At 41.6% G+C, this 16,425-nt stretch overlaps 1 protein-coding gene and 1 long non-coding RNA gene across 12 annotated transcripts in view, besides 4 other annotated features; one reads left to right on the top strand and one right to left on the bottom strand.

The window, feature by feature from the left end:
* Nucleotides 1–16,425, top strand: part of TXLNB (taxilin beta) — a 164,789-nt gene that overhangs the window by 29,955 nt on the left and 118,409 nt on the right. For 9 of the 10 annotated variants that reach the window (XR_007059217.1, XR_007059220.1, XR_007059216.1 and 6 more), the window contains 2 exons: nt 1,535–1,767; nt 5,083–5,520. Coding sequence is in view for 5 of the 10 variants with exons in the window: in XM_005266836.2 (XP_005266893.1) it covers nt 5,097–5,520 (424 nt within the window). In the remaining 5 variants the exon portion in view is untranslated. Of the gene's footprint in view, nt 1–1,534; nt 1,768–1,997; nt 2,076–5,082; nt 5,521–16,425 lie in introns of those variants that run through there. The other variant, NM_153235.4, reaches the window with a different exon arrangement.
* LOC102723690 (uncharacterized) overlaps nt 1–16,425 on the bottom strand; it is a gene marked incomplete in the record, with an annotated part of 31,533 nt that overhangs the window by 8,873 nt on the left and 6,235 nt on the right. The window contains 2 exon segments of one of the 2 annotated variants that reach the window (NR_197427.1): nt 7,094–7,152; nt 8,076–8,114. This is a non-coding gene — a long non-coding RNA (uncharacterized LOC102723690). 2 annotated transcript variants of the gene reach the window in all.
* Nucleotides 2,774–3,023: an enhancer, noted in NCBI's record as "active region_25170". NCBI's record gives its function as "activates an Ori minimal core promoter by ATAC-STARR-seq in GM12878 lymphoblastoid cells {active_cell/tissue: GM12878}" and the evidence as "EXISTENCE:reporter gene assay evidence [ECO:0000049][PMID:35858748]".
* Nucleotides 2,774–3,164: a biological region, named in NCBI's record as "Sharpr-MPRA regulatory region 14530".
* Nucleotides 2,870–3,164: a silencer, noted in NCBI's record as "tiled region #14530; HepG2 Repressive non-DNase unmatched - State 21:Repr". NCBI's record gives its function as "represses a minimal TATA promoter and a strong SV40 promoter by Sharpr-MPRA in HepG2 cells {active_cell/tissue: HepG2}" and the evidence as "EXISTENCE:reporter gene assay evidence [ECO:0000049][PMID:27701403]".
* Nucleotides 3,224–3,283: an enhancer, noted in NCBI's record as "active region_25169". NCBI's record gives its function as "activates an Ori minimal core promoter by ATAC-STARR-seq in GM12878 lymphoblastoid cells {active_cell/tissue: GM12878}" and the evidence as "EXISTENCE:reporter gene assay evidence [ECO:0000049][PMID:35858748]".

Below are 16,425 nucleotides of genomic sequence, written 5' to 3'. Positions count from 1 at the left end.
ACATTATTTAAATTTGAAAAGCACTGACTTGTTTATATTTACTAAGAGATGTGATCGGGTCAGTTTGCTACAATCCAGGATGGAATGCCACCCAATTTGTGGCACTCACCAAGTATTCATTAATTTAGAAGAAAGTGCTTTTCTCTTTCATCAATTTTAATTCACTAACTTAATTATCAAATAATATAGTGAACAGCTTCATTGTCTTCAACACTGGAATTTCTTTATCCTGACTTCTGCTTGTTGGGTGCACTCATCTATATATAACTTATGCCTCCCCTAAACTCAGAGAATAAGTAGGACAAAACTGGGGGTGGGATGTTTTCATTTCCTTTTGTTGCCATAACATCTTATCACAAATTTAGCAGCTTAAAAATAACATAAGTTTGCTATTTTATATTTCTGGAGGTCGGAAATCCAAAACGAATTTCTTTGATCTAAGATCAATGTCGCAGGATTGCATCCCTCTGGAGGCTCTAGAGTATAATCTGTTTCCTTGCCTTTCCCAGCTTCTAGAAGCTTCCTGACCTATGCTGAGGTCATCAAATCTCCTTTTCTGCCTCCAATCCTACTGCCTTCCTCCCTCATTTATAAAGACCCTTATGAGGCTGAGTGCAATGGCTCACGCTTATAATCCCAGCACTTTGGGAGGCCGAGGTGGGCGGATCATGAGGTCAGGAGTTCGAGACCAGCCTAGCCAACACAGCGAAACCCCGTCTCTACTAAAAATACAAAAATTAGCTGGATGTGGTGGCAGGCGCCTGTAATCCCAGCTACTTGGGAGGCTGAGGGAGGAGAATCGCTTGAACCCGGGAGGTTGCAGTGAGCTGAGATTGCACCACTGCACTCCAGCCTGAGTGACAGAGCGAGACTCTGTCTCAATAAATAAATAAATAAATACCCTTATGATTACATTGAACCCACCCAGTAGTTCAAGATAACCTCCCTACCTCAGGATCCTTCCTCACATCTGCAAAGTCTCTTTTGTCATGTAAAGAAACATATTCACAGGTTCCAGGGAGTAGGACGTGGAGATCTTTTGGGTGGCATTATTCTGCCTCCCACAAGGGATGCCACTATGCCTAGCCTGTCCCCAGAGCAGAAACCGATGGAGGAATCTGCTTTGGAAGTATGGGAACACAAGCTCCAGAAAGAAAAATAAAAGGCAAATGGATGTAAATTAATAGACAGGCATTTTATGGTGAATCAGAAGGAATTTCTTTTTCTGAGGAGGATCAAGGAGCATGTTGAGGATTTACAAAATGTGGGAAAGCCACCAACTAAGGAAGAAAAAGCAGACTGCTTCCCTGAGGGTTTGTTTGAGATGGGAAGAGTTACCTGGGAAAGACTGTGCTCCAAGGTCACACCAATTACCACGTGCATGAAGATTATACTCAGTTCAGCTCCAAAATCACCATCTACATGTTTATTTCAAACTTTGCAAACAAACCAAACAATGACATCAGAATTAAAATGGTTCCACCACCTCCCTGTTCTTATGCCATTGTTTTTCTTTTTCCATGATTCCTGTAAGAAACCTGACACTAATTAAGCTAGTGCAAGAAGAAGAAGAAAAAGAAGATGAATCTTCCACCACACTGGAGATAACCCAAGAAGTAAGAAAAACTGATCTCTACCCAAAAAGGACAACAATGGTGAAAGACTGCATTTGCAACGGGGGTAATATACTCAGAGTTTAAATTTCCGAAAGGACAAACAAAACATGGAGAGTCTAATGAGATCTTCCAGCTGCTTCTCTCTGCTAAGGTATTTCCCCTGGCAACAGCTAGGGAAGCTTGGGTGTATTTTCCCCTTGCTGTGTCATATGATGTTCCTTTCCCTACCCCCACCTCCTCCAGACTGCTGCCTCCATCAGTGCCTGTGGCGTGTGTGTGTGTGTGTGTGTGTGCGCGCGCGTGCGTGCACGTGTGTATGTGTGTGTGTGTGTATTGGGTTTCTCTCTCCCTTGTAAGAACACAGCCAGCCCGCCCTCTCCTGCTGTTGCTGCAGCTCTGACTTGCTTTTTCCTGCCTCCTTCCTCTCCTCTCTCTTCTTGCTTAGCTTCTTGCCTTCTGGTAAGTATGACAAACACTCCCCCAAGCCCTGTGAGAAGGTATAGGGTGCGGTTTGTGGTGTTCGAAACTTGCAACTTTGAGATTGCCAGTGAACTGTTGGAGAACTTTTCATTGTTGTATTTATAAATAAAATGTGTTGCTTAGGGAGGGATGTGTCTGTGATAGTCATCTGGAATAGCCAACACAAGTGAAAAGTTCTCTCCCTGGGGAGGGGAAAATAAGGCAATAAAGTTTATATAAGATAAAAGTTAGAAATAATTTCTTTGCCACATAATATAAAATGGATGATTGAAAAGTAACAAAGTTCTCTGACTTTGTTTTTTTCCCTCTTGTTAACTTGTCTTGAGGCTACTTTTGGGAATTGAATTGTCCTGGGCTTTATAATGACTGTTCTGTTTTAAAGTAAATGTGGAACAGGAGTTTAAAGAATAGCCATGGAATTAAGAATTTAAAAAATCAATGATTGTGGCATCTCATGAAGAATAAATCAAATACAAACAGCCACTTGCATTTAGACTAACCGAAGTAAAACTCCTATGGACAGCTTATCTTAAATTAATTATTTTGAAGTTCATTTTACTTGAGATTTTATTTCATCCTAAGATAGTCTCCCCGACTTTAAAACCCATGTATGGATTTAAGCCACTAAATGTTTACTGTTTTCAATTTGACTGAAAAACGATTCTCTTGATTTTCAAGGATGAAGTGCTAAACGGCATGACTCATTTTAGAATAGCTTAAAATAACTTCTGGCTGGACAGCAGGTGCCGTGTGTCTTTCTCCGTGTTCAGGGGAGGCCTAAGTTATATATAGATGAGTGCAATCAACAAGTGAGGTCAGGAAAAGAAATCCCAGTGATGAAAATAATGAAACTGCTGCATTATTTGATAATCAAGTTGGTGAATTCAAACCAGTGAAAGAAAAAAAGTACTTCCTCTAAGTTATGAGTGTTTGGTGAGCATCACAAGTCAGTGGCAACATCTGTGTGTTGAATTTTCTGTTCTTGTTGGTGTCTGAGCATTCAATTGACATCTACTGCCCTGAGAACAGGAAAAGGAAGCTGTGCAGTTGTAGAACAGTATGCTTTTGTTTTCACTTTCATGTTACCACAACAGCAAAACCTGTGAATTATGAGGATCTTGCCACATTTTTATGCTGCTATTTAGCAGCATCACTGTTAAATATTATTTACAAATAAAATGCACCATAACTTAAAGGCCTAAACCAAATCTATTGCAACTCTAGAAGTGGTAATAGTCAGAAACCCTGGAATCTCTGACTCAGTACCATCTCTCACCCTTTCCTAAGGGCCCTTATTATTGCTGAATTATTTCTCGAGTTGGTCTCCTCCTTGTTTATGAAACATTGCTACTTCTTAAAAATCATTAAGTTTTTCTAGAGCTTCCTGACTTAGAAGAGAAAGTTGTAATCTGTTTTTCTCTTTTAAAAAATTGGTTTATATATTGGAATAAAAGAGTATTATAGAAATTTAAGGAATTGTTGTTATAAGTATCATCATGCTTTTGTTTTGTTTAGTTTTTGAGACGAAGTCTTGCTCTGTCACCCAGGCTGGAGTGCAGTGGCACGATCTTGGCTCACTACAGCCTCCGCCTCCCAAGTTCAAGCAATTCTCATACCTCAGCCTCCCAAGTAGCTGGGACTACCGGTGCCCGCCACCACACCTGGCTAATTTTTGTATTTTTAGTAGAGACAGGGTTTCACCATGTTGGCCAGGCTGGTCTCCTGGCCTCAAGGATCCACCCGCCTCGGCTTCCTAAAGTGCTGGGATTACAGACATGAGCCACAGCACCTGGCCCGTGTTTCCATACTACTTTGTCTATTTATTTATACCTTCCCTCATTCCCTGTCTTAATCTAAAAATGATGCCAGTTTAAGCCTCAAAAAAAGCATTCGTGTTGCTTATCTGAAAAAGAAAATGCCAGAAAAGTGAGAAATGTCTCCTCTATCCAGTGTAATAATGCATTTACATCAAAATATTCACACTAAGCAAAATATTGATTTATGGATCAAATAGAGCTTAGAGATGTTATTCTTATGAGTTATTTAAATAAATTCAATGGCTCTTCTATTAAATATTTTAACTTTGAAAGAAAACTAATACCACTTTATATTTAAACATTTTAAATATATACAGTCATGTACCCCCAGTGATTGTTAATCTACATAGAATTATACAGGAAAATGGTAACACAAACTGACTAGTGTAAGCAAAATGACAAATATGGCCACAAAGAAAAATAGCATGAATTACTTTCTTAATGTGAATAATAAGGAATGCTACTGAAAACTGAAGATCAAAACCAAAAATATGCCAGCAGTGTGACTTGATTTGGAAAAACAACTTTCCACTGTCCCTACTTTAATAATTGTAATGCAGCAGGACAAGCCGCAGACAAAACCCTTCAGACACCCAGTTAAAGAAGGAAGCAGTTTAATCGGCCGGGAGCGTCAGCAAGACTCCTGTCTCAAGAGCCGAGCTCCCTGAGTGAGCATTTCTTGTCCCTTTTAAGGGCTCACAACTCTAAGTGCGTGCACGTGAGAGGGTTGTGATTGATTGAGCAAGCAGGGGGTACGTGACTGGGGGCTGCATGCACCGGTAATTAGATCGAAACAAAACAGGATAGGGATTTTCACAGTGCTTTTCTATACAATGTCTGTAATCTATAGATAACATAACCTATTAGGTCAGGGGTCAATTTTTAACTACCAGGCTCAGGGCGCGGCACCAGGCTGTCTGCCTGTGGATTTCATGTCTGCGTTTTAGTTTTTACTTCTTCTTTGGAGGCAGAAATTGGGCATAAGACGATATGAGGGGTGGTCTCCTCCCTTAGTAACATCAATGGTTTGTGAAAGGACATTGCCTTTCTCTACGTTAGAGACTATAATTAGTTGGTATTCACTTGGGGGATATCCTTACCATTGAAATGTAGCATTGATATGTAGCAAGTAGGTTAGCTACATAAAGCCTAACTGTGCTTACCACTAGATACTACTCCCAAGATGGAGGCTAATCACTCTGAACAGCTCTCAGCGGAACGACAGTCAACACCTCCAGGTGACAGTTCATCATTACCCAGTCACAATGGCCTGGAGAAGGAAGATGGCCAGGATTCTCCAACCCCAGTCCAACCACCAGAGAAAGAGGCAAGTGTGCACCCCGATATCTCTGAAGAGCTGAATCGACAGCTGGAAGACATCATTAACACTTATGGGTCTGCTGCCAGCACAGCAGGGAAAGAGGGCTCTGCCAGGGCCAGTGAGCAGCCTGAGAATGCAGAATCACCTGACAACGAGGATGGGGACTGTGAGGAAACAACTGAAGAGGCTGGAAGAGAACCCGTTGCTTCTGGAGAGCCACCCACTGTCAAAGAGCCCGTCAGCAATAAGGAGCAAAAATTGGAAAAGAAAATCCTAAAAGGATTAGGCAAGTAGTTATGTTCAAATATGTGACTTTTCTGTATGGTATTCCTAAAAAAGGGGCACTTCTTCCAAACTTCACTAAAAGCCACATCCAATATTTGGATGACTGTAGTAGCCTTCTATATTTTCCCTTGTTGTATTTGTCCCCAGCCCTTACCCCTCAATGGAGCTCAGGTGAACTTTTCAGTGTGTTACCCATTGACCCTTTGTTCCGTGGCCTCCTACTGCTCTTAGGATGAAGACCAAAATCTTTAACATGTTCTCTAAGATCCTAATGGTCTAACTCCAACCAGTCCCAGTTTTATCTCAGATTACTCTACCCTACAACATCACCTTCCTGAACACTCTGCCTCTATTACCACCACCACCACTACTGCCTAATAGCTAGTCATTCTGATCTTGTCTTTCAGGCCTTTGAACATGCTATGCTCCATCGCCCACAAGGCCTGTGCACATCCTAGTTTCTTTACCTAGAAATCTGTACCTATCTTCAGGTGCCCAATGAGTGTTTATTAATGCCTAGTCTTTGTAAGGCACTGTGCTAGGTGCACAAAGATAAATAAATCATGGTCTTTTGGTCAAGGAGCTGTAAGTATAGAGAAAACAGAAGACATGTAAATTAATTATATAGGAGAAGTGCAAAAACGGGAAAAGGAAAATTTTTTAGGAGAGCATGGGAGATTGGTGACACCAACGATGGCTGGGAAAAAAGGGTGAGAACGTTAATTTTTAAAACTATGAGTGAAGCATGTTACTGTACATAGGAAAGTCCCTCTGCTTGTCTTTCCTGGTGGAAACACTCACTACGAATACTCCCTCCTATGTGATACTTTCCCTGACATGCCCAGGTAGAGTTAGCATCACCTTCCTTAGTTTTCTATTAAATTTTCTGCAGCAATCATTTGTTTATATACCCATCTCTCATGCTAGATGGAGAATCTATCAAGGGCAGAGACCACATATGATTTGTTTCTGGAAGACTATGTGGTAGAGTGAAAGATCATGAGCATTGGAGTCAGAACTGGGTTCAAACTCCAGTAACCAGACTATCTGTAAACCCAAATATATCACAAACTGGAGTAGAATATTTTTCTGCAGTGAGCAGGTATATACAAACCTACCCACAAAGGCCAAGGGAGCTGAAGGCCAAAAACAGAGGCTGACAAATCCACTTTCTCAGAAAGAAATATTTAATAGGGGCTTACAAACAGTAGTGCTGTCTTGGGCAGCAGTGAGACAGTGAATTCCTACACCCACTCTCCAGAAAGTGTCCTTTACATAGCAAGCTTTTAGGTAAAGTCATGTGCAGCTGGTCACATCTCCAACTTTCTTGCCAAAAGTCATGACCACTGGGAACGTTAGATAAGCATCTTTCTGAGGGATTGTCTATGTCACAGGCATTGTTTAAAGACCTTGCTGCAGAACAGCCGTCAACCTTTTTGGCACCAGGGAAGACAGTTTTTCCATGGACTGGGGAGGGATAGTTTCGGGATGATTCAAGTGCATTACATTTATTGTGCACCTTATTTCTATTATTATTACATTGTAAGATATAATGAAATGATTATACAACTCACCGTAATGTAGAATCAGTGGGAGCCTTGAGCTTGTTTTCCTGTAACTAGACGGTCCCATCTGGGGGTGACAGGAGACAGTGACAGATCATCAGGCATTAGATTCTCACAGGGAGCATGCAACCTACATCCCTTGCATGTGCAGTTCACAATAGGGTTCACGCTCCTATGAGAATCTAATGCCACCGTTGACCTGACAGGAGGTGGAGCTCAGGTGGTAATGTGAGTGATGGGGAGCAGCTGCAAATACAGATGAAGTTTTGCTCTGTCGCCTGCCACTCATCTCCTGCCGTGCAGCCCAGTTCCTAACAGGCCACGGACTGGTACCTCACCCTCCCAAAGTGCTGGGATTGCAGACGTGAGCCACTGCGCCCGGCCCCTAGTCTTCCTTTGAACGGTCCGGTCACTCTCCCAGATAGTCTGTTTCATCTGTTTTAGCTTGATTTCTAGTTTCTCTGAGAGAGTAATAAACTGCAGCTTTGATATTTTCTGAAGGAGATGGTATTTTCTGAAGGAGACTAAATTTTCTGAAGGAGATGATAAGAAGACCAGAGAAATTCAAGGGAAAGAGGAATAAGCAGAGACAAAGCTTGACAGGTAGATTCATAGAGAAGCTAGAACCTAGACCAGACCTTGACAGGGAGGAGAGTTTACAGAAGCAGATGGAAGGGGAGAGAAAAACCTTGAGGAAAATTATTAGTACTCTCTTCTGACCAAGGTAGGGAGTGGATGGATGAATATTTTACTGTTTTTTCTAATATTTTTATTTTTGTTATTGGTAATAGTGTATACACATCATCACTGTTGACCTAATAAGAACTCCAGATCCACTCTCCTACTGAGTGAGAGGCCAAAGTTCCCCTACAAATATGACAAGGCCACTGAAAGATAAGAAATAGAAAATGTAAGCCAAAGGGAACAAAATCTGACAAGAAAACACAGGCTAGGTGGTATTTTCGAAACTGATAGAGGCCTCTCGTGGGTAAAATCTCTCTCGTGGGTAAAGTCACTTTCCCCTTGGCATCTGAAATGAAAGAAATGAAAACAGATTTCCCATTATGCAGCCCACAATGACTGGTACCAGTCCGTGGCCTGAGGGTTGGAGATATCTGCTGCAGAACACCTTGGTATGGAGGAGTCAAACATTGGTCATCATGGCAGGTTTGCTTTACGATGGCATCACTCTTGCCATGCAAGGGGCTATTTTCCTACAGATATCGCTATGATGCTAAAACCCATTGCTACAATGCTTTCAAGAAGGCCTAAATAATACATTCAGGTAGCATACTTCACCCAACTAGGATAAAATTAAAAGAACTCAGATAATAACTTTTAAGTATCTTCAAGTTCCAAAGTGCAGGGTTGGAATCACTCTAGTGTTTTGGAACATGGAAAAACATAATAAAATTGCTCTGTGTTACAGAGCAATTTTTTCTTCTCTGACAAAACATCTCAAATGTGTCCCTTTGCAAAGTTAGTCATTATTCAAGTTTCCGTAAGACAATATACAAAATCTCATTCCAGAGGTAAGCAACTTCAAGTGTTCCTAACCAGAAAAGTTATTTTTCAATCACCCTAAAACTTTTACATAAGAATTGGGGTGTGTGTGTGTGTGTGTGTGTGTGTGTGTGTGTGTGTGTGTGTGTGTTGAGGGGAAAGATATGAAGAAAATAGGGATAAAGTTAAAATAACCAATTTGGGTTTCTACTCTCTTCCATGAGTTATTTCATAATCTGCATTAACCTTACAATTACCAAATAGTCAGGATGATGTTTTTAAAAATTCCAACTCCCTAATTCTGCCGCTATTTACGATACCAAATTCCAACTGACTGTGTTTGACCAAAATCAATGCTTGTGGATTAGAGTACCTAGGTGTGTCCACTCTAATTGAGTATGTGTGGGCTCATGACCTTTCTGTGCCTTCCCACTCATCATCATTAGCATATTATTTTAAACACTGTACTATTTAACAGCTACATTATGCATGAAAACAACATTTTTAGGCTAACCTCAACTTGTAACCACCATTTTAAACTTTCAGTTGTTTGCAAGTAGCTTTGGCAGCCTTCTTAGCTACTTTTCAGTTAAATGGTACTGTGCTATCGTCTAGACTAATGGTTTTCCAACTTAACTGTTTATTAGAATCAATTGCAAAATTTGTGAAAAATGCTCCTCCTGAGCCCCCACACACAGATATTTGGAGTTTGTAGGCCTGGAGTGAAGCATGATCTAGTTTCTCAGTTCTTTGAACATGCTATACGCCATCTCCCACAAGGCCTGTGCACATTCTAGTTTCTTTGCCTAGAAATTTCTACCTATCCTCACGTCCTCAATGAGTACTTATTTATTTATTTTTATTTATTTACTTTTTTTCTTTGAGACAGAGTCTCACTCTGTTGCCAGGCTGGAGTGCAGTGGCGCGATTTCGGCTCACTACAACCTCCAGCTCCCTAGTTCAAGCGATTCTCCTGCCTCAGCCTCTCGAGTAGCTGGGATTACAGGCATGTGCCACCATGCCCAGCTAATTTTTGTATTTTTAGTAGAGACGGGGTTTCATTGTGTTGGCCAGGATGGTCTCGATCTCCTGACCTCATGATCCACCCGCCTCGGCCTCCCAAAGTGCTGGGATTACAGCCGTGAGCCACCGCACCCGGCCCACAATGAGTATTTATTAATGCCTAGTCTTTATGATGCACTGTGCTAGGTGCGCAAAGATAAATAAGTCATGGCCTTTAGTCAAGGATCTCTAGGTAGAGAGGAAGAAGAAGACACATAAGCTAATTGTCATATAGTGTAAGTGCAAGAGCAGGAACAGGAAAATTTTTAGGCGAGCATGGGAGATGTTCACCCTGGGTAATTTTGACACAGATTGTGGAAGCAATGGTTCTGATTCTTCAGAAAGTGTTTTCTCTGCTCTTTTGGAGAAAATATAAACATCTGGCTGTGGTCTCCTTTTATAACCTATTTGGACCTCTTAGAGAATTTTAATAAGTCATTCAACCCATATCTGAAGATATATTCTTAGATTTTGCTTATGTACTTGATCAAAGATGTCTTTAATCATTGTATTTATTAGATGCTATTTGCTTTATTGGCACATTTGAGATGCTAAAATGTTTTGACTCTCTACTACAACATTTTCCAAAGTGTGTCTACTTTGGGATGCTTGAGATTTCACAAAGTTAAACAGTTTCTTTACTGCCAGAATTCTCTGACCTTTACTGTATACACAATGAAGATCTAAAATAGTGATGGGCATAGTTTCCATCATTTCCAAAACTTATTGACTGATTGGATCTATGAGAGACATTTTTTTTTTTTTTTTTTGAGACGGAGTTTCGCTCTCATTGCCCAGGCTGGAGTGCAATGGTGCGATCTCGGCTCACCACAACCTCCGCCCTCCGGGTTCAATCGATTCTCCTGCCTCAGCCTCCCAAGTAGCTGGGATTACAGGCATGTGCCACCACTCCCGGCTAATTTTGTATTTTTAGTAGAGACAGGATTTCTCCATGTTGGTCAGGCTGGTCTTGAACTCCCGACCTCAGGTGATCCGCCTGCGTCGGTCTCCCAAAGTGCTGGGATTACAGGCATGAACCACCACGCCTGGCCAAGGCTTTTTTTTTTTTTTTTTTACAGAACACCTTGAATATTTGGGAAATGTCTCTACAACCTAAGCTCCCAGGACTTCTTTTTCCTTTTGAGGCTGCACTTTCTCCTACAATAAACGCAGTACTTACCGGAGCAGTTGGGGGAATATTTAAAAATCTCTCTCGTGGGTAAAGTCACTTTCCCCTTGGCATCTGAAATGAAAGAAATGAAAACAGATTTCCCATTATGCGGCACCATGCCAAGTTCACATCTAAAGTATCCCCTTTGTTCTCCTACTCGCATCCTCCAGGCTCAGAGGTATCTCTCATTTATCACTTCTTTGACAACATTATGTGGGCTGGGAGAAAAACAAAGCTCATTCACAGGGCTATTCTGAGCTCAGAATCCATCTAGTCAACCTACTAATTTTATAGACAGGGAAATTGAAGCCTAGGGAGTTTCAGAATCCACCAAAAAATGTTACTCATCTAGTTGATGTGATTGTGAGATTAGTCATAAAGCAAGGGATGGACTTTGTGTCACTGACATCGCAGGACCAAAGTGGTACAGAAGCAAGCATCATATTGGTTAAGGAGCATTTATTACACCTCAGTTAATGAATTTTGTCTTTCTAGTTACAAGTGAGCTTCAGTGGTACCTTCTGAGAGGCTCCTGACTAGGACATCAGTATTCTGAAATGTCTTCAGACATCCATTTACATAGTCTTCCTTTATTTTTTGAGACAAAGTCTCACTCTGTTGCCCAGGCTGGAGTACAGTGGTGCGATCTCAGCTCACTGCAACTTCCACCTCCCAGGTTCAAGCGATTCTACTGCCTCAGTCTCCCATGTAGCTAGGATTACAGCCACGTGCCACCATGCATGGCCAATTTTTATATTTTTAGTAGAGACGGGGTTTCACTGTGTTGGCCAGACTGGTCTCGAACTTGTGACCTCAAGTGATCTGCCCACCTCACCCTCCCAAAGTGCTGGGATTGCAGACGTGAGCCACCGCGCCCGGCCCCTAGTCTTCCTTTGAACGGTCCGGTCACTCTCCCAGATAGTCTGTTTCATCTGTTTTAGCTTGATTTCTAGTTTCTCTGAGAGAGTAATAAACTGCAGCTTTGATATTTTCTGAAGGAGATGGTATTTTCTGAAGGAGACTAAATTTTCTGAAGGAGATGATAAGAAGACCAGAGAAATTCAAGGGAAAGAGGAATAAGCAGAGACAAAGCTTGACAGGTAGATTCATAGAGAAGCTAGAACCTAGACCAGACCTTGACAGGGAGGAGAGTTTACAGAAGCAGATGGAAGGGGAGAGAAAAGCCTTGAGGAAAATTATTAGTACTCTCTTCTGACCAAGGTAGGGAGTGGATGGATGAATATTTTACTGTTTTTTCTAATATTTTTATTTTTGTTATTGGTAATAGTGTATACACATCATCACTGTTGACCTAATAAGAACTCCAGGGCCGGGCGCGGTGGCTCACGCCTGGAATCCCAGCACTTTGGGAGGCCGAGGCGGGCGGATCACGAGGTCAGGAGATCGAGACCATCCTGGCTAACACGGTGAAAACCCGTCTCTACTAAAAATACAAAAAATTAGCCGGGCGTGGTAGCGGGCGCCTGTAGTCCCAGCTACTCGGGAGGCTGAGGCAGGAGAATGGCGTGAACCCGGGAGGCGGAGCTTGCAGTGAGCCGAGATCGCGCCACTGCACTCCAGCCTGGGCGACAGAGCGAGACTCCGTCTCAAAAAAAAAAAAAAAAAAAAAAAAAAAGAACTCCAGATCCACTCTCCTACTGAGTGAGAGGCCAAAGTTCCCCTACAAATATGACAAGGCCACTGAAAGATAAGAGATAGAAAATGTCAGCCAAAGGGAACAAAATCTGACAAGAAAACACAGGCTAGGTGGTATTTTCGAAGCTGATACAGGCCTTAAAACCAAACGAAACAAGCAAATGAAAACCCTGACAATGAGTGGTGACAGTGAGGAGTAAGAGAACCTTTGTAAATTAAAAAAGTGGACCATAATAGTCTAAGATAACAAATATGCCATCCAAACAATGTTGCTTTTGTTTTCATTGTTATCTAAATCAAGCTAAAAATGGTGAAAGCTATTTTAGTTGTGAAATGACCAAATCTTAAAGGTTGAACTCAGAATCCATTTAGTCAACCCACTAATTTTATAGACAGGGAAATTAAAGCCAGAGAGTTTGAGAGTCCACACACACACAAAATAATAAAAATAAAAAAATAAAAAAATAAATAAATAAATCACTCAACTAGTTGATGGCAGAGTTGGTTCTGGAACCCAGGTCTCCTATCCTTAATCCAGTGTGAATTTAATAATACTTTCCTTCCTATCCCCTGCATACATGAATTTTACTTCCCTTAAAAGATATCTATAGATGCTCAGGAATTATTTATCTCATGCTTATTTTTAGAAATCATATCCTATTAGAAGAAAAACAAAACTAACAGTGAAATATAAATCTAGGTCTAACATTTGAAAGAGGGACATTCACAGTCTTTTCTGGCTTTAAGTTTCTGCCACAATTCATGGAAATCAGGAAGGTGGTTAGAGAGGTACACAAGTACGTATTTATAATGAAATTTAACCCCAAAGTTCTAAAAAAAAAATTTTGGAAGAGAAAAGGCATACTTTTGTTTTTGAGAGATGGAGTCTCGCTCTGTCCCCCAGGCTGGAGTGGAGTGGCCAATCTCAGCTCACTGCAACCTCTGCCTCTCAGGTTCAAGCGAGTCTCCTGCTCAGTTTCCCAAGTAGCTGGGACTACAGGCGTGCGCCACCACGCCCAGCTAATTTTTGTATTTTTTAGTAGAGACGCGGTTTTACTATGTATTGGCCAGGCTGGTTCTCCCGACCTCTGGTGATTTGAACACATTAAATCTGCATAAGTTGTCACCAAACTTAGTATAAACAATCATTACTATGCTAAAAGTTTCAGAAAAATCCTGGTCCACATTTCTGCAGCTGGCTTAGTTGCCTTTAATTTCAGGTTTTTTGTTTCTTTCTTTCTTTCTTTTTTTTTTTTTTTTTTTTTTTTAGAGAGAGAGTCTTGCTCTGTTGCCAGGCCGGAGTGCAGTGGTACAGTCTCGGCTCACTGCAATTTCTGCCTCCCTGGTTCAAGCGATTCTCCTGCCTCAGCCTCCAGAGTAGCTGGGATTACAGGCATGTGCCACGACACCAGCTAATTTTTGTATTTTTAGAAGAGGCAGGGTTTCACCACGTTGGCCAGGATGGTCTCGATCTCCTGACCTCGTGATCTGCCCGCCTCGGCAAGCATGAGCCACCACGCTCGGCCAGTTTTTTTGTTTCTTTGATGTAAAAATAATTTCTCCACCTTCCAATAAAACTGTGCCAGTGACCACAGCCTTATGCAACAGCGCTGTGTCTGCTACACAGGTGGTTCCACTTTCATGTAGACTTCCTACCACGCTGAGCATTTCGCAGTGTGGTGGCTACATGCCCACATGCCTTCCTAGCTTTCATGAGGAAGAAATGAAGCTTGCTTTGGAAGAACACATTAGGGAGAAGGCAGGTGATTCCTTCCTGATAAAGCGTCCCTGAATAAAGTCAGTTTTTCCTCTTTTGTTTGACACTGTCACCAAATGACCCTATTTCCATGGAGATGTAATGATAGCCTTTTGTAGATGATGAGCAAGTCTCTGTCTACTCCCCTCCTCCATGATTACTTCACATAGCACCCTAGTCCCACAACACCAATGGAAGTTTAAAAACTGAGGTCAGTGATGTTGTAAATTTATGAATTCTGCACATGCCCATCTCCAGTTTCCTGGATTTTTTTTAATTAATCTCCAGTTTTAGTGCTTTTCCTGTGAGACTTACAAATAGAAATTCTGTTTCCTGGATTTTTTGTTGAAGGGAAGAATAATTTTTGAAGGCATATTGATGCACCTGGATGTTAACCTTCTATACAAAATAACACAGTAGAGCAGAAAGAGACCTCAGTGAGTGTGAAGAGTAAAAAACAAAACAAACAAAACCAAAAAGAAACCTCTTCTCACAGTCACAGAAAATAAAACCAAAGGGGAGAAGATACTTAATGTGGGAAGAAAGCAAGAACCTTTGGACTCACTCATTTCTATCTCTCCCAAACAAGACAGGTAATGGTTTCACATGTCGGTACACACACTGAGAGGTATTCCAGGATACATAAAACATCACAGGTGAGAGTAAGACCTGTTTTTCCTCTAGTTGGTCACAAAAAATTGTTTTCATGACAGTGTTTATTTGATTCACATGATACGAGTTTGAGCTAGTTGGCTTTGATTTTTTTATTTGTTCGTTTGTTTTTTGCAGTGGAGTGCAGTGGTGCAATCTCAGCTCACTGCAATCTCTGCCTCCTGGGTTCAAGTGATTCCCCTGCCTCAGCCTCCCGAGTAGCTGGGACTACAGGCATGTACCACCAAGCCTAGCTAAGTTTTTGTATTTTAGTAGAGATGGGGTTTCACCATGTTGGCCAGGATGGTCTTGATCTCCTGACCTCGTGATCCGCCCGCCTTAGCCTCCCAAAGTGTTGGGATTACAGGCGTGAGCCACCGTGCCTGGCCAGCTTTGTTTTATTCTATTATTATCATCATTTACTGAGCACTTGCCATGGGCCAAACACTGTGTTGCATCCTGGGCCAAGAATGATCAAGAGTAGTCTCTTGACTTTAATAGATGACACTCTAACTTGAGATTGTAGTCTTCATGTGGGCACCTTCCCTGGACTGAAGACAAAGGTGAAGGGATGGCCTGACCAATGCAAATCCATCCCTGTCAGTAGAGGGATAACCCAAAGCACATGCCTGGCAGGGGCGAGGCGTCAGTGATTATCAGCTGCAAATGCCACAGGCCATAATTGGAGAGCTGGGAGGGACCCTACTCACACCCACCTTCCCCTGTTTTAGGCTAATCTGAACTGACTCACTAGGCAAAGATAGACAAAACTAACTGTTGGGAATGAGGTCATTTAAAAAAAAAGTTGCCTTCTATTTCTCTAGGTCTCTCTAGCATCAGAATTCCACATGAGAGTGGAGTGACTTAGAACAAGTAGGCTAGCCTTGGATTCAAGCCTTCTCTCTGCCAGCACTAATCATGTAACTTTGGACTTTTCTGGGCCTTAAATACTAAAATGCATAAAATTAACCGGTTAGTCTGGATGCTCTTTGAAATTCCTTCTAGACCTAAAATTCCTTGATTCCATGTAAAGTTGCCAGGTTTAGCAAAGGAAAATACAGGATGTCCAGAAAAATTAGAATTTCAGGTAAACAACGAATCATTTTTTAGTACAAATATGCCCCATGTCCTATATTTCATCTGGCAATCCTAATTTCATGACATATATGCCTCTCCAAGATGAAAGCAAGTACTCTAGCCAAGGGGAAATGTCTGTTCTTGGGGGAAAGGTTGTCAATTTTCTTAAGCAGATTTATGTCAGGAAGTGTGGGCTTTGTTGTGTGGCTTGACCACCCTATTCTGATTAAACAGAGTGGTTTTCATAGATAGGTAGGGATGGGAAAAATGCCCCACCCTTTCATGATTATTTAACAGGGTTAATTTTTTTTTAGTGTAGCATAAACTCCAACTGGAAACAAAATGAAACTGCCAACGGATATTAAGGCCTAGGTGGGGGAAAGGAAGGCCAGAGAAGGCTGTGTCCATTATCACAGAGACAGAAAAAGGCTTGTGGAAAGGCTCTCCATGTCTTTACTTGGTTTT

This window comes from Homo sapiens, chromosome 6, assembly GCF_000001405.40.
Source record: "Homo sapiens chromosome 6, GRCh38.p14 Primary Assembly".
Classification (NCBI taxonomy): domain Eukaryota; kingdom Metazoa; phylum Chordata; class Mammalia; order Primates; family Hominidae; genus Homo; species Homo sapiens.
The sequence above is the reverse complement of the archived record's forward strand: the minus strand, read 5'-3'. Positions and strand labels throughout refer to the sequence as shown.